Source organism: Homo sapiens, chromosome 19 (assembly GCF_000001405.40).
Source record: "Homo sapiens chromosome 19, GRCh38.p14 Primary Assembly".
Lineage (NCBI taxonomy): Eukaryota > Metazoa > Chordata > Mammalia > Primates > Hominidae > Homo > Homo sapiens.
In genome coordinates, this window is record NC_000019.10 from 2995561 (window position 1) to 3022207 (window position 26647).

The window sequence follows — 26647 nt, forward strand, 5'->3', positions numbered from 1 at the left end:
CTCTACTAAAAATACAAAAATTAGCTGGGCATGGTGGCACGTGCCTGTAATCCCAGCTACTAAGGAGGCAGAGGCAGGAGAATCTCTTGAACCCGGGAGGTAGAGGTTGCAGTGAGCCAAGATCGTGCCACTGTACTCCAACCTGGCAACGGAGCGAGACTCTGTCTCAAATTAATAGAAATAACAAAATTTTGTGTAGACACAGGGTCTTGCTCTGTTGCCCAGGCTGGTCTCAAATTCCTGATTTTATGTGATTCTCCCACCTCGGCCTCCCAAAGTGCTGGGATTACAGGCGTGAGCCACTGTGCCTGGTCTCAAACTCCTGATTTAAGCGATCCTCCTACCTTGGCCTCCCAAAGTGCTGGGATTACAGGCATGAGCCACCGTGCCCAGCCCTCTGAGCCGTTTCCGTCCTCGTTCTCTGGGAATCTAGTCACAGCCACAGACTTTGCTGTTGGGGTAGCAGATCTCCACCTCCGCCGCCCGGAGCAGCTCCAATCTGGTCCGATGTTTCTGGTGTGATTCCAGGAGCAGTGTGAGTGGTCCTGTCCTAGACATGTCCCATTTGACCAGTAGTCTCCAGTAGGGTGATTCTGCCCCCCGGGGACTCTAGGCGATGTCTGGAGGCATTTCTGGTTGTCACGACTTGTGGGGTCCCCCTGGCATGGAGTGGGTGGGGGCAGGGACATTACTCACCATTCTGTGGTGCCCAAGACGGCCCCACCCCAGAGGATGGTCCAGTCCCGAGGTCCACAGTGCTAAGGTCGAAACAAATTTCCAATAGCTTCACTGGTCGGCCTTCTTCCCACACAAGCTAGGGCTCTGGAAACGCCACTTGCCCACCCTCCCTTTTCCAAGCTATGAAGGGGCCCAGATGTCAACGGGCCTAGGCTCCTTAACCCAGAGAATTATCCCCTTTCCTGCGGTGTCTCCAGAAACATCCACCAGGGCGTGCCTTCTGTTCTCAGCAGGAACCCTCCCATCTCCTTCTAGAATGTTCCCAGCGGCATCTACTCCGCCCAACCTATGCTGCCTTAAATTTTTTTTCTAGAGATGGAGTCCCACTATTGCCCAGGCTGGTCTCAAACTCCTGGGCTCAAGCAATCCTGCCGCCTCAGCCTCCCAAAGTGTTCAGATGACAGGTGTGAGCCCCAGCACCGGTCCTAACCCTTGCTGTACGTGGTAGCCCACCTGAGCTTCCAGAACACGGGGCTGATTGCCCCCCACTCTCCCCGCTCCCCACTGAAGCCTTGTCTGCAGGCCTCGTTCTCCAGAACCTGGCTGTCTTCTGGGTAACCACCAGGCCGAGTTCCCCTTGCCTCTGAGATATCGCATCCGCCATTCTCCTCTTTCCAGAACAGTCTTCTCAGGGCTCTGGGGGCTGTTTCTCATCCCTTAGTGCTCAGTGTACCCCTCCCCTCCACTGGGCAGGGACGTTTGCTCAGCCCTTTGCCATGCGCAGGGCTCTTAGAAATCCTTGGAATCTAGCCAGGTGCAGTGGCTCACGCCTGTAATCCCAGCACTTTGGGAGGCCGAGGTGGGTGGATCACCTGAGGTTAGGAGTTTGGGACCAGCCTAGTCAACATGGAGAAACATTGTCTCTACTAAAAATACAAAAATTAGCTGGGTGTGGTGGTGTTCCTGTAATCCCAGCTACTCGGGAGGCTGAGGGAGAAGAATTGCTTAAGCCCAGGAGGCAGAGGTTGCAGTGAGCTGAGATCGTACCACTGTACTCTCCAGCCTGGGAGACAGAGTGCGACTGTCTCAAAAAAATTTCTACCCGGAGGCCTGAGTGACTACCTGGAGTAGAGCCCCGTACACCATGTGGGTATGAGCAAGGAAAAAATGCATGAACCCTGAGACTCGGGGACTACTTGTTACGCAACAGCATCTTAACGATCCTGCCCAGCGCAACTCCTGTGTCTCAGAGTGGCTCTCACATACCAGGCAGACACCTCTGAATATCCTGCAGAAAGAATTCTCGTTACGTATGACCCCATCCCCAGGACATGGTTGCCTCCCAGTAACCGTGCCCAAGAGGAACAATGATCACCGGTTCCCCAGCCCGAGAGAGAAGTGCGGATGTGATAGATACATTTTATTTCCACCGAGGTCCCCTGCCCATCGGCCCCCACATGCAGCAGGGGAAGGTGTGAAGCCGTTGGCCAGAGAGCAGATGGGATGTACGGTTCCTAGGCAGGGCTGGGAGGCGGCTGCTAGGATGTCTGTCCTGGCTGCTGATTCCCCTGGGAGTCTGGACTTCGGGTACAGGAAGGGGGGTCATGTCTCAGTAGACCACCTCATACACGGTGGCCTTCTTGTCCCCCGAGCCTGTCACGATGTATTTGTTATTTCTGGAGATGTCACAACTCAGGACTGAGGACGACTCCTTGGACTGCCAAGGGAAGGGAGAGAGAAAAGGGCACAGTGAGGCATGGTCCCCACAGATGGGTGTGTGGGCAAGGCTGGGGCGGAGTCAGGAACGGGAGGTCAGGACTCGCCTACAGAGTGACGTGTTTCTTTTTTTGAGATGGAGTTTTGTTCTTGTCGCCCAGGCTGAAGTGCAGTGGTGCGATCTTGGCTCACTGCAACCTCCACCTCCCGGGTTCAAGACACTCTCCTGCCTCAGCCTCCCAAATAGCTGGGATTATAGGCGCCCGCAACCACGCCCGGCCAATGTGTGTGTGTGTGTGTGTGTGTGTGTGTGTGTGTGTGTAATTTTTTTTTTTTTTTGTGAGACAGGGTCTAACTCTGTTGCCCAGGCTAGAGTGCAATGGTGTGATCTCTGCTCACTGCAACCTCCGCCTCCCAGGTTCAGGCAATCCTCCTGTCTCGAACTCCCAAGCAGCTGGGATTGCAGGTGCATGCCACCATGCCTGGCTAATTTTTGTATTTTTAGAAGAGGCAGGGTTTCACCATGTTGGCCAGGTTGGGCTTGAACTCCTGACCTCAGGTGATCCGCCTGCCTTGGTCTCCCAAAGTGTTGAGATTACACGCATGAGCCACCGCACCCGGCCTAATTTTTGTATTTTTAGTAGAGACTGGGTTTCCCCATGTTGGCCAGGCTAGTCTCAAACTCCTGACCTCAGGCGATCCACCGCCTAGGCCTCCCAAAGTGCTGGGATTACAAGCGTGAGCCACCGCGCCCGGCAGAGCGACTTGTTTTCTACAGACAGGTGCTTTGGAGCTAAGTCCAATGGGCAGAACAGGGCCTCCATTCCCTCAATACCAAGAGAGATGGAACTGAAGTGCTGCCCTTTCTGGAAGCTCAGAGTGGGTGTGCACCAGGCATGATGTCACACAGCACAGCAGAGGGCCAAGGCAATGGCTTAGACCAGGGATCAGCAAACTTCACAAAGGGCCTGGTAAACATTTTAGGCTTTGCCTAAAGTCTAAATAAGTCCATGTCACATATTCTGGGATTTTTTTCTTACAACCCTTTGAAAATATAAAGGGTTGGCACGGTGGCTCGGCGCTTCCGGAGGCCGAGGCAGGTGGATCACCTGAGGTCAGGAGTTCCAGACCAGACTGGCCAACGTGGGGAATCCCCGTCTCTACTAAAAATACAAAACTTAGCCAGGCATGGTGGCGGGCACATGTAATGCCAGTTACTTGGGAAGCTGTGGGAGGAGAATCGCTTTAACTCAGGAGGTGGAGGCTGCAGTGAGCTGAGATTGCGCCACTGCACTCCAGGCTGGGCGACAGAGAAGGACTCCGTGTCAAAAAAACAAAAAAACACTGTACCAACCAGGACGGGCATATTAAAAACACTGTACCAACCAGGACGGGCATATTAAAAAGACAGCCAATAACAAGTGTTGGTGAGGATGCAGAGAATTTTAAAATTTCAATCACTGCTGATGGGGATATAAAATTTGAAAAACAGGCTGGGTGTGGTGGCTCACACCTGTAATCCCAGCACTTTGGGAGGCCAAGGCGGGTGGATCATGAGGTCAGGAGATCAAGACCATCCTGGCTAACACGGTGAAACCCCGTCTCTACTAAAAATACAAAAAATTAGCCAGGTGTGGTGGCGGGTACCTGGAGTCCCAGCTACTCGGGAGGCTGAGGCAGGAGAATGGTGTGAACCCAGGAGGCAGAGCTTGCAGTAAGCAGAGATAGTGCCGCTGCACTCCAGCCTGGGTGACAGAGTGAGACTCCATCTCAAAAAAAAAAAAAGAAAGAAAAACAGCTGGGCGCAGTGGCTCACGCCTGTAATCCCAACACTTTGGGAGGCCAAGGTAGGCAGATCACCTGAGGTCAGGAGTTTGAGACCAGCCTAGACAACATGGTGAAACCCCCTCTCTACTGAAAATACAAAAATTAGCCAGGCGTGGTGGTACATGCCTGTAATCCCAGCTACTCGGGAGGCTGTGGCAGGAGAATCGATTGAACCCGGGAGGTGGAGCTTGCAGTGAGCCGAGATCGCAACACTGCACTCCAGCCTGGGAGACAGAGCAAGATTCTGTCTCCAAAAAAAAAGAAGAAATGAGTAAGATGGCAAATTTTATTTTTATTTATTTATTTTTGAGGCAGAGCCTCACTCTGTCGCCCAGGCTGGAGTGCAGTGGTGCGATCTCAGCTCACTGCAAGCTCCACCTCCTGGGTTCATGCCATTCTCCTGCCTCAGCCTCTCGAGTAGCTGGGACTACAGGCGCCCACCACCACGCCTGGCTAATTTTTTTGTATTTTTTTTAGTAGAGACGGGTTTTCACCATATTAGCCAGGGTGGTCTCGATCTCCTGACCTCGTGATCCGCCTGCCTCAGCCTCCCAAAGTGCTGGGATTACAGGCATGAGCGACCGTGCCCGGCTGGCAAATTTTAAATTTTATAATATTATATGCATGTTACTGCAACTAAATTTTAGAAAAACCAACAGGCTACGGGCAGATGAGGCGAGGCCTCCGGCTGAAATTCCAACCTCTGCTTTAGTACCTGGGCGGTAGGGAGGCTTGCAGGACCCTGAGGAGGGGTTAGGGTGGCGGGGGGACCTGGGGGACAGGGACAGGGGCAATCTCTCTGTCTGACCCTGGCATACCCGGGCACATGGCCCTGCCAGAGTGGGGGCTCCAGACCGCCGAGTACCTGGAAAATGCTGGCCCCGTACGGCGTCCTCCAGGCGTTGAGCAGGTTGTCCTTCCCGGTGCTCACAAACCACCGTCCTTGGGGAAGGAGAGCAGCAGGGTTCAAGGAGGGGGCACTAACGAGAGACCCGGGCTGCAGGGGGAGGTCGGGGAAGCTGGGTCTGGGTCTGGCCTCTCCCTTTTTTTTTTTTTTTTTCCAAGAAAGGGTCTTGCTCTGTCACCCAGGCTGGAGTGCAGTGGTACAATCATAGCTCACTGCAGCCTCCACCACCTGGACTCAAGCGCTCCTCCCAAGCAGCTGGGACCACAGGTGTGCACCACCACGCCCAGCTAATATTTTTATTTTTTGCCGGGGGCAGTGGCTAACACCCGTAATCCCCACTTTGGGAGACAGAGGTGGCTGGGTCACTTGAGGTCAGGAGTTTGAGACCATCCTGGCCAACATGGTGAAACCCCTTCTCTACTAAAAATACAAAAATCAGCTGGGCATTGTGGCAGGCACCTGTAACTCCAGCTACTTGGGAGGCTGAGGCTTGAGAATCGCTTGAACCCAGGACGCAGAGGTTGCAGTGAGCTGAGATTGCGCCACTGCACTCCAGCCTGGGTAACGCAGTCAGACTCTGTCTCAAAAAAAAAAAAAAATATTTTTTGTAGAGTTGGGATCTCACTATGCTGCCCAGACTGGTCTCAAACTCCTGGCCTCAAGCGATCCTCCCACCGTGGTCTACCAAAGTGCTGGGATTACAGGTGTGAGCCACTGTGCCCAGCCCAAGTTTTGTTTGTTTGTTTGTTTGGTATAAGATATCCCATGTACTATTTAGGATATACTTACACTAATGAATGATTTTTTTTTAAAAAGAGATAGGGTCTCACTGTATTGCCCAGGCTGGAGGGCAGTGATGTCATCATAGCTCCCTACAGCCTCAAAGTCCTGGGCTCAAGCAATCCTCCTGCCTCAGCCTCCCTCGTACCTGGCACTACAGGTGCGACCTACTGGCTGTTTAATTTTTTTGTAGAGAAAGTCTTGCTATGTTGCCCAGGCTGGTCTTGAACTCCTGGTCTTGGGCGATCCTTCTGCCTTAGCCTCCCAAGTAGCTGAAACTACACACATCAGCTACTGTGCCTGGCTTAAATTTCTTTTCTTTCTTTTTTTTTTTTTTTTTTTTTTTAAGATAGAATCTCACTCTTGTCTCCCAGGCTGGAATGCAGTGGCATGATCTTGGCTCACTGCGACCTCCACCTCCCGGGTTCAGGCAATTCTCCTGCCTCAACCTCCCAAGTAGCTGGGATTACAGGCGCCCACCACCACGCCTGGCTAATTTTTGTACTTTTAATAGAGTCAGGGTTTCACCATGTTGGCCAGGCTTGTCTCGAACTCCTGACCTCAGGTGATCTGCCTGCCTTGGCCTCCCAAAGTGTTGGGATGACAGGCGTGAGCTACCACACCCAGCCTTAAATTTGAATCTCAGATAAGTCATCAGTAATTTTTAGGACAGGTATATCCCAAATACTTCATTATTTGGTTTTTAGTATAAGTATATCCCACACACCATTTGGGATATACTTGTACTAACGATTTGCTTTTGAGTATATAAAACTTAGTATATAAATAACATTATTTGTTATTTATCTAAGATTCAGATTGAATAGGCACCCTGGGTTTTGTTGGGGTTTTGAGGGCGTGCCACCCCGCCCCAGAAGACACACCGCAGGAGGCAAACTTCAGGGACAGCACGCAGCTCTCGTGGAGGTGCAGCTGGTATTTCTCCGGCTTGCGGACGTGCAGGATCTCCACGTTGCTACTCTCCATTCCGACCGCCAGCCAGTCCTGGTTAGGGCAGTGGCCCAGGGAGAAAATCTGGGGGTAAAGAGGGAAGAGATGGGGTCACGAGCCCCTCTTTGTTTTGTGTTGAGACAGGGTCTCACTCCGTCACCCAGGCTGGAGTGCAGTGGCACAATCATGGCTCACTGCAGCCTTGACCTCCAGGGCTCAAGAGATCCTCCTGCCTCAGCACCAGAAGCTGAGACTACAGGCATGCACCATCACGCTGGATAATCTTTTTTTTTTTTTGAGACAGAGTCTCACTGTGTCACCCAGGCTGGAGTGCAATGTTGCAGTCTCAGCTCACTGCAGCCTCTGCCTCCCAGGTTCAAGGGATTCTCCTGCCTCAGCCTCCAAAGTAGCTGGGATTACAGGTACCTGCTAGTACGCCCGGGTAATTTTTGTATTTTTAGTAAAGACGGCGTTTCACCGTATTGGCCAGGCTGGTCTCAAACTGCCAACCTCAAGTGATCTGCCCGCCTCGGCCTCCCAAAGTGCTGGGACTACAGGTGTGAGCCACCATGTCAGCCTACGAGCCCCTTTGGATATTGGGGGGTGCCCAGCACCATCAGGGGTTGCGGGGGTGGAGTCCAACATTCTCCCTCTTCAGCACCCCCCTAGAGAAAGGCAGCTGGCCCAGGACTGGGAACACAGCAGACAACTGCATGTCGAATCATTAATATTAATCAGAATTACACAGAACCCTAGGGCTGCACATCCATTATCTGCTCTGAGCGCACAACAGCACAGGGAGGAGGGAGAGAGGAGGGAGGAGGGACAGAGAAGGGAACAGCCAGGCAAGGACAATCACTCCCCTTAAGCAGATGATGGAAGCTGAGGCAGTGTCCCCTCAAGGTCACAGAGCAAGACTATGAAAGACCAGGCCTTGGCCGGGCTCTGTGGCTCAGGCCTGTAATCCCAACACTGTGGGAGGCCGAGGCGGGCGGATCATCTGAGGTCAGAAGTTCATGACCAGCCTGGCCAACATGGCGAAAACCCATCTCTACTAAAAATGCAAAAATTAGCTGGGCGTGGCTGCAGGCACCTGTAATCCCAGCTACTCGGGAGGCTGAGGCAGGAGAATCGCTTGAACTTGGGAGGTGGAGGTTGCAGTGACCTGAGATTGCACCACTGCACTCCAGCCTGGGTGACAGAGCAAGACTCTGTCTCAGAAACAAAAAACAAAAAAAATAAGACAGACCAGGCCTAGGAGACAGAACTTCTCACTCTTAGCTTGGAATGTTCCTTTTTGAGACAGACAGGGTCTTGCTCTGTCGCCCAGGCTGGAGTGCAGTGGTGCAATCATGACCCACTGCAGCCTCAACCTCCTCCCATGCTCAAGTGATCCTCCCGCCTCAGCCTCACAAGTAGCTTGGATTACAAGCATGTGCCACCACACCTGGCTAATTTTGTATTTTTGGTAGAGATGGAGTTTCTCCATGTTGGTCAGGCTGGTCTCGAACTCCTGACCTCAAGTGATCCACCCACCTCGGCCTCCCAAAGTGCTGAGATTACAGGCGTGAGCCACTGCACCCGGCCTCGGTTTGATTTTTAAAAGATTCAGGGTCCTCCACCTCATTTTAAGCACAAACAGGAATCAGGCTCTGTTCCACCCCAAACCTCTTGGAGTCTCACTAACAAGATGCCTGTGGAAATAACCACACATTTGCAGAAGAGAAGACTGGAGGGCTTCAAATGTCCTCTCCTGGCCATACAGAAGTGTTTCTGTGTAAAGACGCATTGGGGGACACCCAGTGAGCTAGGAGATATTCACCATGGGATCCCTAGAAATGTTCTTAGCCCACCTAAGCTTCGGGGCCACGGGATGGAGAGCTGTGTCCACCTGCACTCCTGAAAGAGAAGAGCAGGTTGGACATAAAGAGCTTGGGAGGGCAAGCGCGGTGGCTCAGGCCTGTAATTCCCACACTGGGAAGCCGAGGCAGGTGGATCACTTGAGGCCAGGAATCCAAGACCAACCTGGACAACACAGTGAAACCCTGTCTCTACCGACAAATACAAAAATTAGCCGAGCATGGTGGTGCGTTCCTGTAGTCCCAGCTACTCAGGTGGCTGAGGCACAAGAATCATTTGAACCTGGGAGGCGCAGGTTGCAGGGAGCTGAGATCACAACACAGCAACTCTGTCTCAAAAAAAAAAAAAAAAAAAGAGGAGCTTCGGAGTTAGGAGTTAGCTCCTCTTAGGTTTCAAGGAGGAGGGGCAAATGAGATGGGTCTTGAGGGATGAATAGGAGTTTGCCAATTACAGAAAGAAGAGAAAGGCATTTCAGCCACAGGGAACAAATGTGCAGAGGCCTCAGAGCTGTCCCGGAGTATGGTGTGCATGAGACCAGCCCATGGAAACCCTGAATGACAGAAGAAGGAGCTCACAGCTGCCCCCAAAGCAGTGAGAGGCAGGATCTGGGGTCACGGTGCCTGAAGATTCACTCTCTTTGCCCAGCCCTGAGGAGCCCCCAGCTCTGTCCAGCCTGTTCACCATGTCCTTCAGCTTAGACTCCACCTTCAATGGGGATCTCTCCATGCCCAGCTCCTCCTACATCAACCTCCACTCTGTCCTCCTGGCCAGTAGCTCCCCCATGGTTAGTCCTCAGTTGGGAAGTGTGTGTCCCGCGCTCTCGGCGGCGTCCAGAGATTAAAGGCTAGAAGAACCACCCAGCTACACGAGGAAAGGCACATATAAGGGTATGGCTGGACAAAAGCAGGTGGGGAAGATGATCTGGGGGTCTCAGTAGCCCCACAGCTTCCTATGAATCAGCTCTTTTGTGTTCCCCTACATCTTTAGAGAGTTACAGGGGAAGCCTGTGGATGTGTCTGGGGGACAAGAAAGATGGACACCACAGCAGATGGGAGTCCTGTCCTGTCCTGCCTCTGGAAGTGGGCACCTCACAAGGAGAGGAAGGGATGCTGTATTCCTAGAGCTTCCATCCCCCTCCTGCCAGAACCGAACAGCACCTGGGAGCTGAAGTCATGCTGCTGCAGCTGGCGGCCCTCCCGCAGGTCCCAGCAGCGCACCGTGTTGTCCAGGCCCCCTGTCCAGAGCCGAGTGCCGTAATCGGAAATATCAATGCAGCTGGCGCCGTCCGTGTGGCCCTGGAACTGCCTGGAGGGAGAAGGGCCCAGGCGTCCATCCTGGAATTCGAGCTGCCCCAGCATCGTCCCAGGTCACACTCCTCCACTCCCCCTGCACCGAGAGCGGCCGGGGGCTTGCCCAAGGTCCCAGCGCACCTGCCACCCACCTGACCATAGTCTGATTCTGCAGGTCCCAGACCACAATGTTGCCATCGCTGCAGCAGGAGAAGCAAACCTTGGCGTCGGGGCTGACGGCCAGGGCGTAGCAGGCTGGGGCTGAGGAAGTCAGCTCGGCCTTGATACGGGGGGTGGGCGCCGCCAGGTCCCAAATGGACAAGGTGCTGGCCTCACCGCCCACGATCAGACTCCGGCCATCCGGCAGCAACTTGCAGGAACGAATGTAGTTGTCTCGGTTCTGGGGTCGGGGAGAGAAGCAGGGGCTGGGGGTTGGTCCCAGGTGAGGTCTCTAGGAGCCTAGCTCAACGTGGGGGTCTCTGGAGCCCAATGTAGCCTCATCCTGATTAGCCTGCAAGCCCTACCCTGATTGGCTGGTGAGCCCCGCCCCTTTGACCTGCAAACACTGCCCCATCTGACTATAAGCTCCATCCTTTACCTATAAGCCCCACCCATGGTTGGCCTGCAAACCCTGTCCTGATTGTCTTGCAAGTCCAATTCAGATTGGCCAGAGCCCCACCCCTTTGGCCTGCAAGCCTTGTCCCATGCGACTACGAGCTCCGCCCCTCACCTATAAGCCCCGCCCTTCACCTGTAGCCCCACCCACGGCCAGCCTGCGAACACCGCCCCATTGGAACATAAGCCCCACCCCTCACCTGTGAGTCCCGCCCACTGTCCCACCCCGCCCTCACCAGGCAGTCGAGCTGGGCCACGGGCGTCTTGGCCCCAGGCTGGCCCACGTCCCACACCTTCACACAGCCCTTGCCGCCCGTGTACACATGCTGTGTGGAGCCGCTGATGGTGACCGCGCAGACCACCTCGCCATGGGCCAGCGTGTGCAGCTGCCGGGCGTGCCGCGGGATGCCCGCGCCTACCAGTGCATCCGAGGGGAAGGGAACCGGCTGCATCTGCCCGTCCGCAGACACGTGGAAGGAGTAGGCCCTGGAGAGAAAGCCGGGGCATGACCCAGCCCTGGGCACCACGCCCCCGCACCCGCACCTGGGAGGGCAGGGAGACGCCTTTGTCCTGCCTGGCACCCTCTGATGTGTTTTTTATTTTTTGTTTTGTTTTTTGAGAGGGAGTCTCGCCGTGTCGCCCAGGCTGGAGTGCAGTGGCCCGATCTCAGCTCACTGCAACCTCTGCCTCCTGGGTTCAAGCGATTCTCTTGCCTCAACCTCCCGAGTAGCTGGGATTACAGGCATGCGCCACCATGCCTGGCTAAGTTTTTTGTATTTTTAATAGAGACAGGGTTTCACCATGTTGGCCAGGCTGGTTTTGAACTCCTAACCTCAAGTGATCTGCCCGCCTCGGCCTCCCGAAGTGCTAGAATTACAGGCGTGAGCCACCATGCCCAGCCTGATGCGTTTGTTTCTTTTTTGAGATGGAGTCTCGCTCTGTCACCCAGGCTGGAGGGCAGTAGCGTGATCTGGACTCACTGCAAACTCTGCTTCCGGGGTTCAAGTGATTCTCCTGCCTCAGCCTCCCAAGGAGCTGGGATTACAGGTGCAGGCCACCACGCCTGGCTAATTTTTTTGTATTTTTAGTAGAGATGGGCTTTCACCATGTTGCTCAGGCTGGTCTCAAACTCCTGACTTCAAATGATCCTCCCACCTCGGCCTCCCAAAATGCTGGGATTACAGGCATGAGCCACCGGGCCCAGCCTCTGATGCATTTTTTAAAGTAATTTTCTCTGTTATTATTTTGTAGAGATGAGGTCTTGCTATGTTGCCCAGGCTGGCCTCAAACTCCTGGTTTCAAGTGATCCTCCCGCCTTGGCCTCCCAAAGCACTGGGATTACAGGAGTGAGCCATGGTGCTCGGCCTCTGATTTAGGAAAAAGGCAGGACAATGTGGTCAAAGGTGATATGGGACAGTCAGTGGGTGGCACAAATACACAGGGAGTCTAGGTTGTGGTGTGGCGCATGGTAAACAAGCACTTAATAAATGTTCGTTCAACCGAGGACCCACAAAGAAACCTTGAGTGTTCCAGACCAGCTAGAGGGTCTGTCCTAGGAGCCCCGGCCACCTGTGACCAGTTAAAACACTTAAATGAACTGAAATTAAATAAACATTTTCAGGCCGGCACAGTGGCTCACACCTGGAATCCCAGCACTTCGAGAGGCCAAGGTGGGTGGATCATTTGAGGTCAGGAGTTCAAAACCAGCCTGGCCAACATGGTGAAACCCTGTCTCTACTAAAAATACAAAAATTAGCCGGCGGTGGTCCGTGCCTGTAATCCCAGCTACTCAGGAGGCTGGAGCAGGAGAATCGCTTGAACCCAGGAGGTGGAGGTTGCAGTGAGCTCAGATCTCACCACCGTACTCCAGCCTGGGGGACAGAGCGAAACTCAGTCTCAGAAAACAAAACAAAACAAAACAAAACTTTTCAGCTCCTCAGTTGCACTGACCACATTTCAAGTACTGAAAGCCACGCCCAGCTGGTGGCGACTGGGTTGGCCAGCAGTGGGTCTAGAACACTTCCATCACTGCAGAAAGCTCTGTGGACACTGTGGCCAGATCTCCTCTGGTGGAGCCATCCTGGACAATGCAGGATGCTAAGCAGCATCCCTGGCCTCCACACTCCAGGCCAGGAACGTCTCCTCCCCCAGCTGTGACAACCACACGTGTCCCCCGACATCGCCCAGTGTCCCCTGGGGGGTCAGAGTCTACTTCTATGGAGAGCCAGTGGAACTCTGAGTAGCTTATGCAAGAGACTTTTTTTCTTTTTTCTTTTTTTTTTTTTGAGACTGAGTCTCGCTCTATTGCCCAGGCTGGAGTGCAATGGCACGGTCTCAGCTCACTGCAACCTCCACCTCCCAGGTTCAAGTGATTCTCCTGCCTCAGCCTCCCGAGTAGCTGGGATTACAGGTGCCCGCCACCACGTCCGGCTAATTTTTGTATTTTTAGCAGAGACATGGTTTTGCCATGTTGGCCAGGCTGGTCTTAAATTCCTGACCTAAAGTGATCCACCTGCCTCAGCCTTCCAAAGTGCTGGGATTACAGGAGTGAACCACTGTGCCCGGCCCACACAAGAGACTTTCTAGAAGGGAAGCAGGGAGACCCCAACCACAGAGGGTAAGACCTCAGAGGAGGTGGGGGGCTGGCCCGGGACCCCAGGCAGGGAGCCCCACCCTGGTACTCACGGCTTTCCCCCAGGGATGCTGGGTAGGGAGGAAGAGACGGATGACCCTCGGAGATGGGGATGAGACTCAAATGCCATCTGTGAGAATGCCAGGGGGGTGTCAGTGAGGCAGGTGACTCCAACCCACCTCTGTGCCACCCCACGCCCACCTGCCATACCCCTCTCTGTTTATCACCCCTCCCCAAGGCAGCAGAGATGCCTTCTCTCTGCCTGTCACACTACAGATGAGAGGGCTGAGGTTTTCACTTGAGCACACCGACACCAAAATCTCTATCCAGGAAATCCTAGAACTCCACGGTTCCAAGGATCCTGAAGGGTTCTCCATCCAATGCCCAGACTGGCTCTAGGCCAGGGTTCTGAAAACTCCAGCCCCTCCCAGGACAAATCTGGTCCACTGCCTGTTTTTGTAAACAGTGTCCCGAGGCCAAGGCCCTACTGCTCCTCTTCATGCAGCTTAATCGCTGTTGCGTTTTTCCACAATCAGAAGTCTTGCTTTGTATTAAGCTTGTGGGACTACTGAGACCCCCAGATTGTCTTCCCATGCATACTTGCTGAGCCAGGGCTCCCTTCCCTTTCTGCACTCCCTTGTCTCTCCTTGTGTAGTTGGTTTCTCCTCCCGGCCCCCAGCCCCTGGGCCCTGCTGACACCTCCTGCGCCCCCACCCAAGGACTCACCACGGGGGAGCGTCCGTACACCACAGAGCTGCTGACCTGGGGGGACAGGTGGAGGCTGACGTAGGAGCTGGGCACGGAGAGGTCTCCGTTGAGAGTGCTGTGGGAGCCCAGGCTGAAGGACGTGGTGAAGGGACTGGACAGAGTCAGGGGGCTCCTCAGGGCTGAGACGGAAGAGTCGGGGACAGGTTTTGACGCCCTGGACCCAGATCCCGCCTCCCACTGCCTTGGGAGCTCCCTGGCCTTTCATTTAGAGTTTCCATGTGCTGGTTCCACATTGGCCATAGCCTGGGACACCTCCAGACCTCTGCACTATCGTTCCTCCAGTGGACACGACTTTCTCTCTCTCTTTTTTTCTTTTGTTTGAGATGGAATCTTGCTCTGTCGCCAGGCTGGAGTTCAGTGGCGCGATCTCGGCTCACTGAAACCTCTGCCTCCTGGGTTCAAGCAATTCTGCTGCCTCAGCCTCCTGAGTAGCTGGGACTATGGCCATTCTCCTTCTTTTAATTGGCAAACTCCTATCCATCCTTCAAAACCCAGGCCCACCGAGCACAGTGGCTCACGCCTGTAATCCCAGCACTTTGGGAGGCCGAGGTGGGCGGATCACCTGAGGTCAGGAGTTCAAGACCAGCCTGACCAACATGGTGAAACCTGGTCTCTACTAAAAATACAAAAATTAGCTGGGCATGGTGGTGCATGCCCGTAATTCCAGCTACTCAGGAGGCTGGGGCAGGAGAATTGCTTGAACCTGGGAGCGGGAGGTTGCAGTGAGCTGAGATGGTGCCATTGCACTCCAGCCTGTGTAACAAGAGTGAAACTCCGTCTCAAAAAAAAAGGAAAAAAAAAAACAAAACCCAGGCCCAATGTCCATTAACATCTCAGAAACATCCTTGAGCCTCCCCATTGCCAACCTCCAGCCCTGCCCATCTTGGGTACCTGCCTTGGTACCAGCCCTGACTATACAGGGCTGTGAGTTTTGGGGTCTGGGTCCTGTCCCTTTTTGCCACCTGGGAGTTCCTTGAGGGCAGATTCCAAGGCCAGCTTCTTTCAGGGGCCCCAGAACCAGCCCAGGGCCTGACCATAAGGCAGAAAAGATGAGCACTGTCATTCCTCAGATTACTGATGGGGAAACTGAGGCTCAGAGAGGTTGGGTCACTTGCCCGAGGTCACCCAGCTGGTGAATGCCCAAGCCTGGTCTGAAACCCAAGTCTGTCTGGCCCCAAAGATTGTCTTTCCAGTGCACTAGGCTGAAACCCCCGACTAAGCCGCTTCCACTCTCCAGGCCTCAGTTTCCCTACCCGCCGAGCTGACACAATGAGGAACTGCCCAGAGGGAGGCAGCGTCTAACTTGAAGTCACAAAAAGGACCAAGGCAATGAACACCAAGCCTGGAATCCCAGCATTCTGCCTCTCCAGCCCCTTTTCCTAGATCTCCCCAGAGACGAGGCCTGCTCCAGACAGGCACCAACAGGCAAGGTGCTCACCGACGCTGTCCGTGGAAGGTGCTGGCTTGGCAGCAAGCTGGCAGAGGTGACTGGCCGAGCTGGGCCCGGGGGTGGAAGCGTCCTGGGGCGGGGAGGAGTCACAGGATTTGGAGGCAGGAGTGCTGGCGGGAAGGTCATTCTGCAGAGAAAGGGCAGGACTGAAGGCCACCAGGCACCTGGTGTCTTGTGGCCCAACGATCTGATCAGAAACTGGGGTTGGGGGCGGCCAGTCGCAGTGTCTCACACCTGTAATCCCAGCACTTTGGGAGGCCCAGTCGGGCGGATCACCTGAGGTCAGGAGTTCGAGACCAGCCTGGCCAACATGGTAAAACCCCATCTCTACTAAAAATACAAAAAAAGATTAGCCGGGCGTGGTGGCATGTGCCTGTGATCCCAGCTACTTGGGAGGCTGAGGCAGGAGAATGGCATGAACCCGGGAGACGGAGCTTGCAGTGAGCCGAGATCACGCCACTGCACTCCAGCCTGGGAGACAGAGCGACTCCATCTCAAAAAAAAAAAAAAAGACTCTGTCTCAAAACAACAACAGGCCAGGCGCAGTGGCTCACGCCTGTAATCCCACCACTTTGGGAGGCCGAGGCCGGTGGATCACTTGAGGTCAGGAGTTTGAGGCCAGCCTGGCGAACATGGTGAAAACCCCATCTCTACTAAAAATACAAAATTAGCTGGACGTGGTGGCGCATGCCTGTAATTCCAGCTACTTGGGAGGCTAAGGCAGGAGAATTGCTTGAACCCGGGAGGCAGAGGTTGCAGTGAGCCGAGATCACGCCATTGCACTCTAGCCTGGGCAACAAAAGCAAAACTCTACAAAAACAAAAAACAAAACAAAAAAAAGGCAACAAAGTTACAAAGTTATAGGCTGTCAAGATTTGCAATTCTTTTTTTTTTTAATACAGGGTCTTGCTCTCAAAACTAACATGATCAGACAGGCGCTGTGGCTCACGCCTGTAATCCCAGCACTTTAGGAGGCCAAGGTGGGCGGATCACCTGAGATCAGGAGATCTAGACCATCCTGGCTAACACAGTGAAACCTCGTCTCTACTAAAAATACAAAAAATTAGCCAGGCGTGGTGGCACGTGCCTGTAGTCCCAGCTACCCACTACCCGGGAGGCTGAGGCAGGAGAATCTCTTGAACCTGGGAGGCAGTGGTTGCAGTGAGCCAAGATTGCGCCACCACACTCCTCCCTGGGTGACAGAGCGAGACTCCATCTCCAAAACGAAAAACAAACAAAAGGCACGATCATAGCTCACTGCAGCCTCAACCTCCCATGCTCGAGTGATCCTCCCGACTGAGCCTCCCAAGTAGCTGGCACTACAGGCACACGACTCCATGCCCGGCTAACTTTTTAAATTTTTCATAGAGACAAGGTCTCACTATGTTGCCCAGGCTGGTCTCCAACTCCTGTTCTCGAGTGATCGTCCTGCCTTGGCCTCCCAAAGCCCTGGGATGACAGGGATGAGCCACAGCACCCAGCCACTGTTGAGATTCTTGAACAACAAGGAATTAGAAACTCCGGGATGGGCTCGTGGAGAGGCAGACCCCACAGCGGCATATTCCCAGGTGAAGGAAGAGTGCCTAGCACACACTGCAATCCTCCTTGAGCCCCCACAGAGAGGGAGGTGTCACCCAGAGCTGTCCCTCCCCAAGGAGAGCTCTGAGGAAAGCAGCAGCTGGACCTCCATCTAGGGGCAGGCTCTGTTATCTCGGCTTCATGTCATCGCCTCCCCTGCCTCCCCTGCCTCCCAAGAAACTTCGCATCCTTGTCTTGCGTCTGTCTCGGCTTCCCATGACACCATCGCACAAACAGTGACAGCCACGCAACACCGGCACCCGCGAGAGAGTGGATGGGACGACTGTGGGGTCAGGGAGGACCCCTGAGGGCTTCTCCAATACAACGGAGCTGACCCATCCCCTTGTAAGGTTTTTCCCGCAGTGGGAGGTGGGCACTTAAGATGGAATGGGAGCCCCAACCTCTGGCGGTTGCCATGGTAACCTGCCAGGAAGGGAGGCCTTGAAACCGGGAGGGGAGGCCTAGAAACCGACATACTCTTCCCTGGTAAGTGTAGGGGAGGGGTCTGGAGAAGATTTGGGGTGAGGGGAGCTGCAAAAGGAGCTGAATTTCTAATGCCCTGGGGGTGCTTTTAGATGGCTCACATGCCTGGCATTAAACTCCAGGAGGTCCAACTGAAAACTTGTTCCTATATTAATTATCTTTCCTTCCGGGGACAACATCTCAGCTTGGGGCCGGTGTGTCTCTAAGCGCCTCTGGAAGGGCTCAACACATGCAGGCCTGAGTCCAGCCTAGCTGGCTGGGCTTTCACTATGTTTATTTCCATGGGATTTCCTATTGATTGCAAGAGAGAGACCTGCTTTCCATGTAAGGTAGTGAATTGCCTTTTAAAATTTATCTACAAAGCTTCTTTACAAAGTTGCCTTTTAATATTTACTGAGGTTCAACAAAGTCAGTCCAAGCAGGAGGTTTAAAAAAAAAAGCACAGGGAAAGGGTGGACAATGCCAGCCCGGCTGGCTGATTTCTCATCACTGCCCTCTGCATCATGGGGTAGCGTCTGCTTCGGGGCCCCCGGGATGAATAAAGTGAGTTTCAAGGCCCTCCCCTCCTCCTTACCAGGATGAGCTCCTTGGCTCTAGGCAGCGGTGAGCCAAGGCTAGAGGCCAAGGAGGCTGGACTGTCCACCAGGTCCCGACGGGCAGGAATGCAGATGGGTACCTTTCCGCAGGGGGTGGTAGCCGGGCTGGGGGGCTCTGAGGGTTGGTCCTGGGTTTGAGGAGGTGACGTTGAGCAGAGTTGAAATGAGAGGGAAAGAAGAGTCCCTTCTCTATCCTCCTCCCGACTCCCACCCCAATCTCTAGAATGGGTACCCATGACCCACCATGGGAAGATTATGAAATCTTCTGCTGCCTCAGTTTACTCATCTGTAAAATGTATTTTTTTTTTTTTTGAGTCTCGCTCCGTTACCCAGGCTGGAGTAATGGCCCACTGCAACCTCCGCCTCCTGGGTTCAAGCGAGCACATCCAGCTAATTTTTTTGTATTTTTAGTAGAGACAAGGTTTCACCATGTTGGTCAGGCTGGTCTCAAACTCCTGACCTCAAGTGATCCATTCGCCTCAGCCTCCCAAAGTGCTGGGATCACAGGTGTGAGCCACCACGCCCGGCCTGTAAAATGGGTTTAATGATAGGCTCTACTCCATAAGCACCCATAGCGAGGACTATATAAAGGCTTGGTTTTATTTTCCCATTGAACAGATGGGGAAAAGTGAGGCCAGGGAAGGGGGTGTCACTGCCCACAAATCACTCAGTGAACCTGGGCTTGAAGTCACTCCCTGTGCAGTGGAGAGGAGGTCGGCCAGAGGTGTCCCGGAGTCCCTGACGCTTCCTGACCCCATCCCAGCTGTCCCACAGAGCGGGGAACCAGGATCCCCACTACCTCTGGGTCCTCCCAGTCCAGAAAACCCACCCCTTGCTCTGTGCCCAGAGTCGGGGAAGAGGCTGGACCCCTGGACTCACCTCGTCCACCACCAGATTGTAATCACTCTTGTCTTCGTCGCTTTCCTGGGGGAAGATGGGGGAGAGAGCTCATTGTGGTCATGCCCCTGCCTCCACACCCCCTATCCGCTCCTCAGGAGTTGGAGGCATGAGCCCAGCCAGCCCTGGGGCATGACTGGGATTCTCAGACCACTGCACCCGTTTGCTCATAGCAGAAGGGAAGGCTGCACGTGCCCGCATCCGGGAAGGATGTGGGGAGGCAGGGCAGGTGGGCACCTTGTGGAGAGGACTTTGAAGGATGTGGACTACATGAGTGCCCTGTGTGACTCCCGGCCCTCTCAGGCCTCAGTTTACCCCTCTGCATGGTGAGGGGAGAGCCAGAGACCAGCAATCATCCTTACCGCCTTCATAAAGACTCCGCCTTAATAAATAAATAAATAAAATTCATTGCCAAAGAAAATAAGACTCCACCTTAATAAATAAATAAATAAATAAATAAAATTCATTGCCAAAAAAAAAAAAAAAAAGCTATTAGGTAAAAAGGAAGATTTAAGGCTTCTCTGAGAAACAGCAATATTGGCCCACCCTGAGCCTGCCAGTCTCCGGGGATCAAGTTGCAGCTGCCCCTGTAGGTGGGAGAAGGGGCTCCCCAGCTGGCCACAGCCCCATTCCCCACATTCGGCCTGGCCCCTGGGATGCTAGAGTTGGAAACTACAAGTGTGCAGCCGTCTGGCAATGAGAGGAGGTCCCAGCCTCTAGGAGGTGGTCAGGGAAGGCTTCTTGTAGGAGGTGGCACTTTGTTTCTTGATAGAAAAATGGGTTTCTAAAACATGTGTGTTCTAGGGAAAGAAAACAGCTGGAGCAAAAGCTAGAGGGTGGGAAAATGGCTGTACGGCCAAGAGGCCGCAGAGACTTCAAGCAACTGGAGTTAAGCCTTGCATTACAGGATCTCCTCTGATTGGTCAGTACTCTGAGTAGTAGGGAGCTATGGGAGGCTCCGGAGTGAGAGAATTATGGCCAGAGCTGGGCTCTGGAAGGCTCTGAGGGGCCAGGCTGGTCTGGGCCATGCACGCCCATCCCAGTCCTGCACCTGCCCCCACTCACATAAGGTCCTGATGGCTCCTTCTCATCTGCTCTCTGCTTCCCGCCACCACCAGGGCCACTCGGTCGCTCCTCCTCCACGAGACTCTCAGGGGGCGAGGGAGATGCACTCTGCGGAGAGACAAAGGCCGGGGGGAGAAAGGGTCAGGGCCCTGGGCTCCTAGATTGCATTGTGATCCAGCCGAGACTGAGGGTCCCCCACCATTATTAGGGTCCGGACCTCAAGCTTCCCATCTGGGAAATGGGAGCTTCCAACGGCTGACTCAGTGCTAAGGTTTTGTTCTCTCTTCTGTTTTGTTTTGTTTTTGACGGAGTCTTGCTCTGCTGCCCAGGCTGGAGTGCAGTGGAGCCATCTCGGCCCACTGAGACCCCCGCCTCCCGGGTTCAAGCGATCCTCCTGCCTCAGCCTCCCCAGTAGCTGGGATTACAGGCGCCACCACCACGCCCAGCTAATTTTTGTATTTTTAATAGAGACAGGGTTTCGCCATGTTGGCCAGGCCTATCTCGAACTCCTGACCTCAGGTGATCCACCTGCCTCGGCCTCCCAAAGTGCTGGGATTACAGGCATGAGCCACCGCAACCAGCGCCTTACTTCTTCTGCAACCTCTCTGACATCTATAATTATTTCAAAATTAAACCATTTTGGCCGGGCGCAGTGGCTCACGCCTATAATCCCAGCACTTTGGGAGGCCGAGGCGGGCGGATCACAAGGTCAGGAGATTGAGACCATCCTGGCTAACACGGTGAAACCCCGTCTCTACTAAAAATACAAAAAAAAAAAAAAAAAAAAATTAGCCGGGCATGGTGGCGGGCACTTGTAGTCCCAGCTACTTGGGAGACTGAGGCAGGAGAATCACTTGAACCCAGGAGGCGGAGCTTACAGTGAGCCGAGATTGCACCACTGCGCTCCAGCCTGGGCGACAGGGCAAGACTCAGTCTCAAAAAAAAAAAAAAAAAATTAAACCATTTTTTGAAAAACTTACTGACACAGCTCACATGACATTTCTGTTGGGGAGCACCCACAGATATTGCTGAACGGCTGATGGCTAGGCGAACGGAAGTGAGGATGGGAAGAAGGGTCCAAGGTCATGCATTCATTTATTTAATTACCCGAAAAAAGCTGGAGGTTGAAATTTTTTTTTCTTTTGAGATGGAGTCTCGCTCTGTCGCCCAAGCTGGAGTGCAGTGGCGCAATCTCGGCTCACTGCAACCTCCGCCTCCCGGGTTCACGCCATTCTTCTGCCTCAGCCTCCAGAGTAGCTGGGATTACAGGCGCCCACCACCACACCCAGCTAATTTTGTATTTTTAGTAGAGATATGGTTTCGCCATGTTGGCCAAGCTGGTCTCGAACTCCTGACCTCAAGTGATCCACCCACCTTGGCCTCCCAAAGTACTGGGGTTTTAAACACTACAGCCTTCTGGGTATCTCCCACACAGAAAGGCTTCAGGAAACCGGGCTATGGATCTTGTTTTTTTATTGTTGTGGTTGCTGTTGTTTGTTTTTTGAGACAGAGTCTCATACTGTCGCACAGGCTGGAGTGCGGTGGTGCAATCTCGGCTCACTGCAACCTCTGTCTCCCAGGTCCAAGTGATTCTCCTGCCTTGACCTCCCGAGTAGCTGGGATTACAGGCACCCGCCGCCACGTTTGGCTAATTTTTGAATTTTTAGTAGAGACAGGGTTTTGCCATGTTGGCCAGGCTGCTTTTGAACTCCTGGCCTCAAGTGATCTGCCCACCTTGGCCTCCCAAAGTGCTGGGATTACAGGCACGCACCTGGCCTGGTTTTTTTTTTTCTTTCTTTCTTTTTTTTTTTTTTTTGAGACAGGGTCTTACTCTGTCACCCAGGTTGGAGTGCAGTGGCACGATCACAGCTCCCTTCAGCCTTGGCCTTCTGGGCTCAAGTGATCCTCCCACCTCAGGCTCCCGAGTAGCTGACACAACAGGCATGGACCACCACACCCAGCCAACTTTTTGTATTTTTCTGTAGAGACGGGGTTTTGCCATGTTGCTCAGCTGGTCTCAAACTCCTGGCCTCAAATGATTCTCCTACCTCTGCCTACCAAAGTGCTGGGATCAAAGGCGTGAGCCACCATGATCGACCTAGGTCTCATTCTGAGGCCCCCATCAGCTCAGAACCAGCGTTGGCCTCCCAAGAATATAAAAAGAGTCCCAGGGTGCCACTCACTTACCCTGCTCGGGGCTCTCTCCACTGACAGATTGGGAATGGGATAAAGAGAAAGAAGGAGAAAGAATGAGGCGTTTGTATCCACGGCGCCAGAGGGTACAGCCCTCCAGTTTATAAAGCCCCCCGCCCCCACCACCCCACTCAGAGTCTCTCTACCCTTCCAACACCCTTGCAAGTGGTGGATTATCCCTCCCCTGCATTCAGATCAATGCCCAGAGAGGGATAGTGACTTGCCTCAAGACACACAGCCCATTGGGGGTGATGTTGAACCCCAGGGCCTTGCAGCCGCTCTCATTGATCCCCTCACACTTTACGAGTTGGGGTCTTGCTCTGTTGCCCAGGCTGGAGTGCAGTGGCCCAGTCACAGTTCACTGCAGCCTCGAGTTCCCGGGCTCAAGTGATTGTCCCATCTCAGCCTCCCGAGTAGCTGGGACTCCAGGGGCATGCCACCATGCTTGGCATTTATTTATTTATTTATTTATTTATGAATGAGACAGAGTCTCACTCTGTCGCCCAGGCTGGACTTGGCTCACTGCAACCTCTGCCTCCCAGGTTCAAGCAATTCTCTTGCCTCAGCCTCCCGAGTAGCTCAGATTACAGGCACCCACCACCATGCCCAGCTAATTTTTGTATTTTTAGTAGAGACAAGGTTTCACCACGTTGACCAGGCTGGTCTCAAACTCCTGACCTCAGGTGATCTGCCCGCCTCGGTCTCCCAGAGTGCTGGGATTACAGGCGTGAACCACCGTGCCTGGCTATCTATTTTTATTTATTTATTTATTTATTTTAATTTTTTTGAGACAGAGTCTCACTCTCTCACTCAGGCTGGAGTACAGTGGCACAATCTTGGCTCACTGCAACCTCCGCCTCCCAGGTTCAAGCGATTCTCCTGCCTCAGCCTCCCGAGTAGCTGAGATTACAGGCACCCGCCACCACTCCTGCCTAATTTTTTTTGTATTTTTAGTAGAGATGGGGTTTTCCCATGTTGGCCAGGCTGCTCTCGAACTCCTGGCCTCAGGTGATCCAGCCACCTCGGCCTCCCAAAGTGCTGGGATTACAGGCATAAGCCACCATGCCCAGCCTGTGCTTGACTAATTTTTAAATTTTTCATAGAGATGGCGTCTTGCTATGTTGCTTGGGCTGGCCTCTAACTCCCGGCCTCAAGTGATCCTCCTGCCTCGGCCTCCTAAGTACCTGGGAATACAGGTGTGCACCATCCCACCCAGCAAATTTTTAAATTTTTGTAGAGACGGGGTCTCGCTCTGTTGCCCAGGCTGGTCATGAACTCCTGGGCTCAAGCGATCCTCCCGCCTCGGCCTCCCAAATTGTTGGGATTATAGGCATGAGCCACTTCATCCCCTCACGCTGATGTTTGCTACCCTGGACTGCCAGTCGTCCTCCCCAGCCCCGTCTCCCCAGCCAATGCCACCCCGTGCTGCCCACTCACCTCTGGACCCCTCGGCCTCCACGCCCGCACGGTCCTCCTTGACAGCCGCCGCCAGCTGAGCCTGGGCAGCCAGGGCTCCAGACAGAGCAAGCAGCCCCGTAGCACTGCCGCCCACCAGCCCGGCTGGGCGGGGGGTGAGGGGCACAGGGGGTGCGTGGTGGGACAGCGGCTGGAGCTGCTGCTGCTAGAAAGGAGGCAGGATGGGCCGGGGCGGGGGGCGGCAGGAGCCCAGCGGTCCCCAGCCCAAGAGGTAGACACAGGGGATGGGACCTAAGCACAGCATGTGCCCCTGGGGTTCCCAGGACCACTGGAGCCAAGGCCCACACACCACCCCAGCTTTAACACCTCCTGGGTGGGTGCCAGGGACCTGGGAGTGGGCGTCTCCCCATGGCGGGGCAGGGGCTAGAGAGACTCACCCCGATGAGGCTGTTCAGCTCCCCCACGGTGACCTGCTTGGCGCGTTCTACGGCCTGGAGCACCTGCTGCTGATGCTGGCGGGTGGAAGGGATCAGGTAGAGGGTACATTGAGCCCCTGCTCATGCTAGCGGTGCCCTTGGGGACCTGACCTCTCCCCGCCACCCTCTCATCTTTGCCCCGGTACTTCCCATTTCTCTTTTATCTTTTTCCCTCTCACTCTCTCCCTTTCCTTTTGGAATTTTGAAATAAGCACACGGAGAAAGAAACCAAACCTAAGTGCAGGTAGAATAGTTACAAATCAGGCCGGGCATGGTGGCTCACGCCTGGAATCCCAGCGCTTTGGAAGGCTGAGGTGGGCAGATCACCTGAGGCCAGGAGTTCGAGACCAGCCTGGCCAACATGGTGAAACACCTGTAATCCCAGCTACTCAGGAGGCTGAGGCAGGAGAATCGCTTGAACCCGGGAGGTGGAGGTTGCAGTGAGCCGAGATCGTGCCAATGCATTCCAGCCTGGGTGACAGAGCGAGACTCTGTCTCAAGAAAAAATATATATATATTACAAATCACAGTCTCTCCTTTGGAGCATCGAAGAACCAAAGACATCTGGGGCTGGATTGTTCTCTGGGGCGGGGCTGTTCCAGGCACTACAAGGAGCCGAGCAGCATCCCTGGCCTCCACCCACTCCATGCCAGGGGCACCCCCAGTTGTGACAACCACAGACGTCTCCTGGTGGTAAAACTACCCCCAAGAAAAAAAAAACACTGTGATAAATCGGCACCATGGACCCTTCTCCTAGGTTAAGGAACAGAAAGTACCAGACTCCAGGGGCCCCCTACACTCCCTGCCATCAGAACACCCTCCCTCCTCCACCTTCATGACAATAATTTCTTTGTTTTTCTGTATAATTCTGCCTCCTACGATCGCCTTCCTAAACCTGCGTGGATTTGTCCGTTTTCAACTACGTTGTGGGCTCATTCTCTGAGTTCTCTTTGGCATCTGGCCTCTCAGCATAACATTTTAAGCTTCTTCCATGATGTGGTGGGTGGCGGCAGCATATTCAGCTTTCAGAGCTGTGGGACTCTGCTGCGAGAAAATGTTATATCTGAGCCGGGCGCGGCGGCTCATGCCTGTAATCACAGCACTTTGGGAGGCCAAGGCAGGTGGATCACTTGAGGTCAGGAGTTCAAGACCAGCCTGGCCAACATGGTGAAACCCTATCTCTACTAAAAATACAAAAAAAATTAGCCAGACGTGGCGGCGGGTGCCTATAATACCAGCTACTCGTGAGGCTGACACAGGAGAATCACTTGAACCCAAGAGGCACAGGTTGCAGTGAGCCAAGATTGCACCACTGCACTCCAGCCTGGGAGACAGAGTGAGACCCAGTCTCAAAAAAAAAAAAAAAAAAAAAAAAAAGGGGGGGGGGTGCTGAGCGTGGTGACTCACACCTGTAATCCCAGCACTTTGGGAGGCTGAGGCAGGTGGATCACGAGATCAGGAGTTCGAGACCAACCTGACCAAGATGGTGAAACCCCATCTCTACTAAAAATACAAAAATTAGTCAGGCATGGTGGCATGCACCTGTAATCCCAGCTACTCGGGAGGCTGGGGCAGGAGAAACACTTGAACCCGGGAGTTAGAGATTGCAGTGAGCCAAGATCGTGCCATGCACTCCCGCCTGGGTGACAGAGCGAGACTCAGTCTCAAAAAAAAAAGAAAGAAAGAAAATGTTGTATTTTTGCTGTTCCACACAGAAGCCACTGGCCATGTGTGTGGCCACCAGGCATTTGACATGTGGCTGGTGCAACTGATGAATAGAATGATTAATTTTATTAAATTTAAGTGAATACAAGTTTAAATATAAAATAAATTTAATAGGCTTATTTTTATTTTTACTTTTTTGAGACGTAGTCTCACTCTGTTGCCCAGGCTGGAGTGCAATGGCATGCTCTTGGCTCACTGCAACCTCCGCCTCCCAGGTTCAAACAATTCTCCTGCCTCAGCCTCCCAAGTAGGTGAGATTACAGGTGCGCACCACCACACCCAACTAATTTTCATACTTTTAGTAGAGACGGGGTTTCACCATGTTGACCAGGCTGGTCTTGAACTCCTGATCTCAAGTGATTTGCCCCCCTCAGCCTCCCAAAGTGCTGGTATTACAGGTGTGAGCCACTGCGCCCAGCCTAAATATAAATTTAAATATAAAATTAACTTAATAGATTTCAGGTCGGGCGCAGTGGCTCATGCCTGTAATCCCAGTACTTTAGGATGCTGGAGTGGGAGGATTACGCTAGTCCAGGAGTTTGAGACCAGCCTGGGCAACATGGTGAGACTCCCTCTCTGTTACATTATACATATATACTTATTTAAGCCGGAGTCTCACTCTGTCGCACAGGCTGGAATGCAGTGGCGTGATCTCGGTTCACGCTAACCTCCGCCTCCCAGGTTCAAGCAATTCTCCTGCCTCAGCCTCCCGAGTAGCTGGGATTACAGGCACCTGCCACCACAC

General features: G+C 53.7%; 1 protein-coding gene across 6 annotated transcripts in view, besides 3 other annotated features; it reads right to left on the bottom strand.

The window, feature by feature from the left end:
* TLE2 (TLE family member 2, transcriptional corepressor) overlaps window positions 2084-26647 on the bottom strand; it is a 49992-nt gene continuing 25428 nt past the window's right edge. For 2 of the 6 annotated variants that reach the window (NM_001144761.2, XM_006722864.3), the window contains 14 exons: window positions 24139-24213; window positions 23723-23906; window positions 22280-22299; window positions 20093-20200; window positions 19010-19054; window positions 18109-18258; window positions 15462-15600; window positions 13982-14142; window positions 13309-13385; window positions 10860-11109; window positions 10161-10408; window positions 9877-10024; window positions 6793-6943; window positions 2084-2395 (listed from right to left, as the gene is read on the bottom strand). In NM_001144761.2, the coding sequence (NP_001138233.1) occupies window positions 2364-2395; window positions 6793-6943; window positions 9877-10024; window positions 10161-10408; window positions 10860-11109; window positions 13309-13385; window positions 13982-14142; window positions 15462-15600; window positions 18109-18258; window positions 19010-19054; window positions 20093-20200; window positions 22280-22299; window positions 23723-23906; window positions 24139-24213 (1788 nt within the window). In that variant the 3' untranslated portion in view covers window positions 2084-2363. Of the gene's footprint in view, window positions 2396-5086; window positions 5164-6792; window positions 6944-9876; window positions 10025-10160; window positions 10409-10859; window positions 11110-13308; window positions 13386-13981; window positions 14143-15461; window positions 15601-18108; window positions 18259-19009; window positions 19055-20092; window positions 20201-22279; window positions 22300-23722; window positions 23907-24138; window positions 24214-26647 lie in introns of all 6 variants that reach the window. The other 4 variants (NM_003260.5, XM_011528230.2, NM_001300846.2 and 1 more) reach the window with 4 other exon arrangements.
* Window positions 7621-7767: a silencer, noted in NCBI's record as "fragment chr19:3003179-3003325 (GRCh37/hg19 assembly coordinates)". NCBI's record gives its function as "represses an EF-1alpha promoter that drives an FKBP-Casp9 reporter gene in an ReSE screen in HepG2 liver carcinoma cells {active_cell/tissue: HepG2}" and the evidence as "EXISTENCE:reporter gene assay evidence [ECO:0000049][PMID:32094911]".
* Window positions 10555-11489: an enhancer, noted in NCBI's record as "H3K27ac-H3K4me1 hESC enhancer chr19:3006113-3007047 (GRCh37/hg19 assembly coordinates)". NCBI's record gives its function as "activates a minimal SCP1, AML or CMV promoter by ChIP-STARR-seq in primed H9 embryonic stem cells {active_cell/tissue: H9 hESC(primed)}" and the evidence as "EXISTENCE:reporter gene assay evidence [ECO:0000049][PMID:30033119]".
* Window positions 11598-11795: a silencer, noted in NCBI's record as "fragment chr19:3007156-3007353 (GRCh37/hg19 assembly coordinates)". NCBI's record gives its function as "represses an EF-1alpha promoter that drives an FKBP-Casp9 reporter gene in an ReSE screen in K562 erythroleukemia cells {active_cell/tissue: K562}" and the evidence as "EXISTENCE:reporter gene assay evidence [ECO:0000049][PMID:32094911]".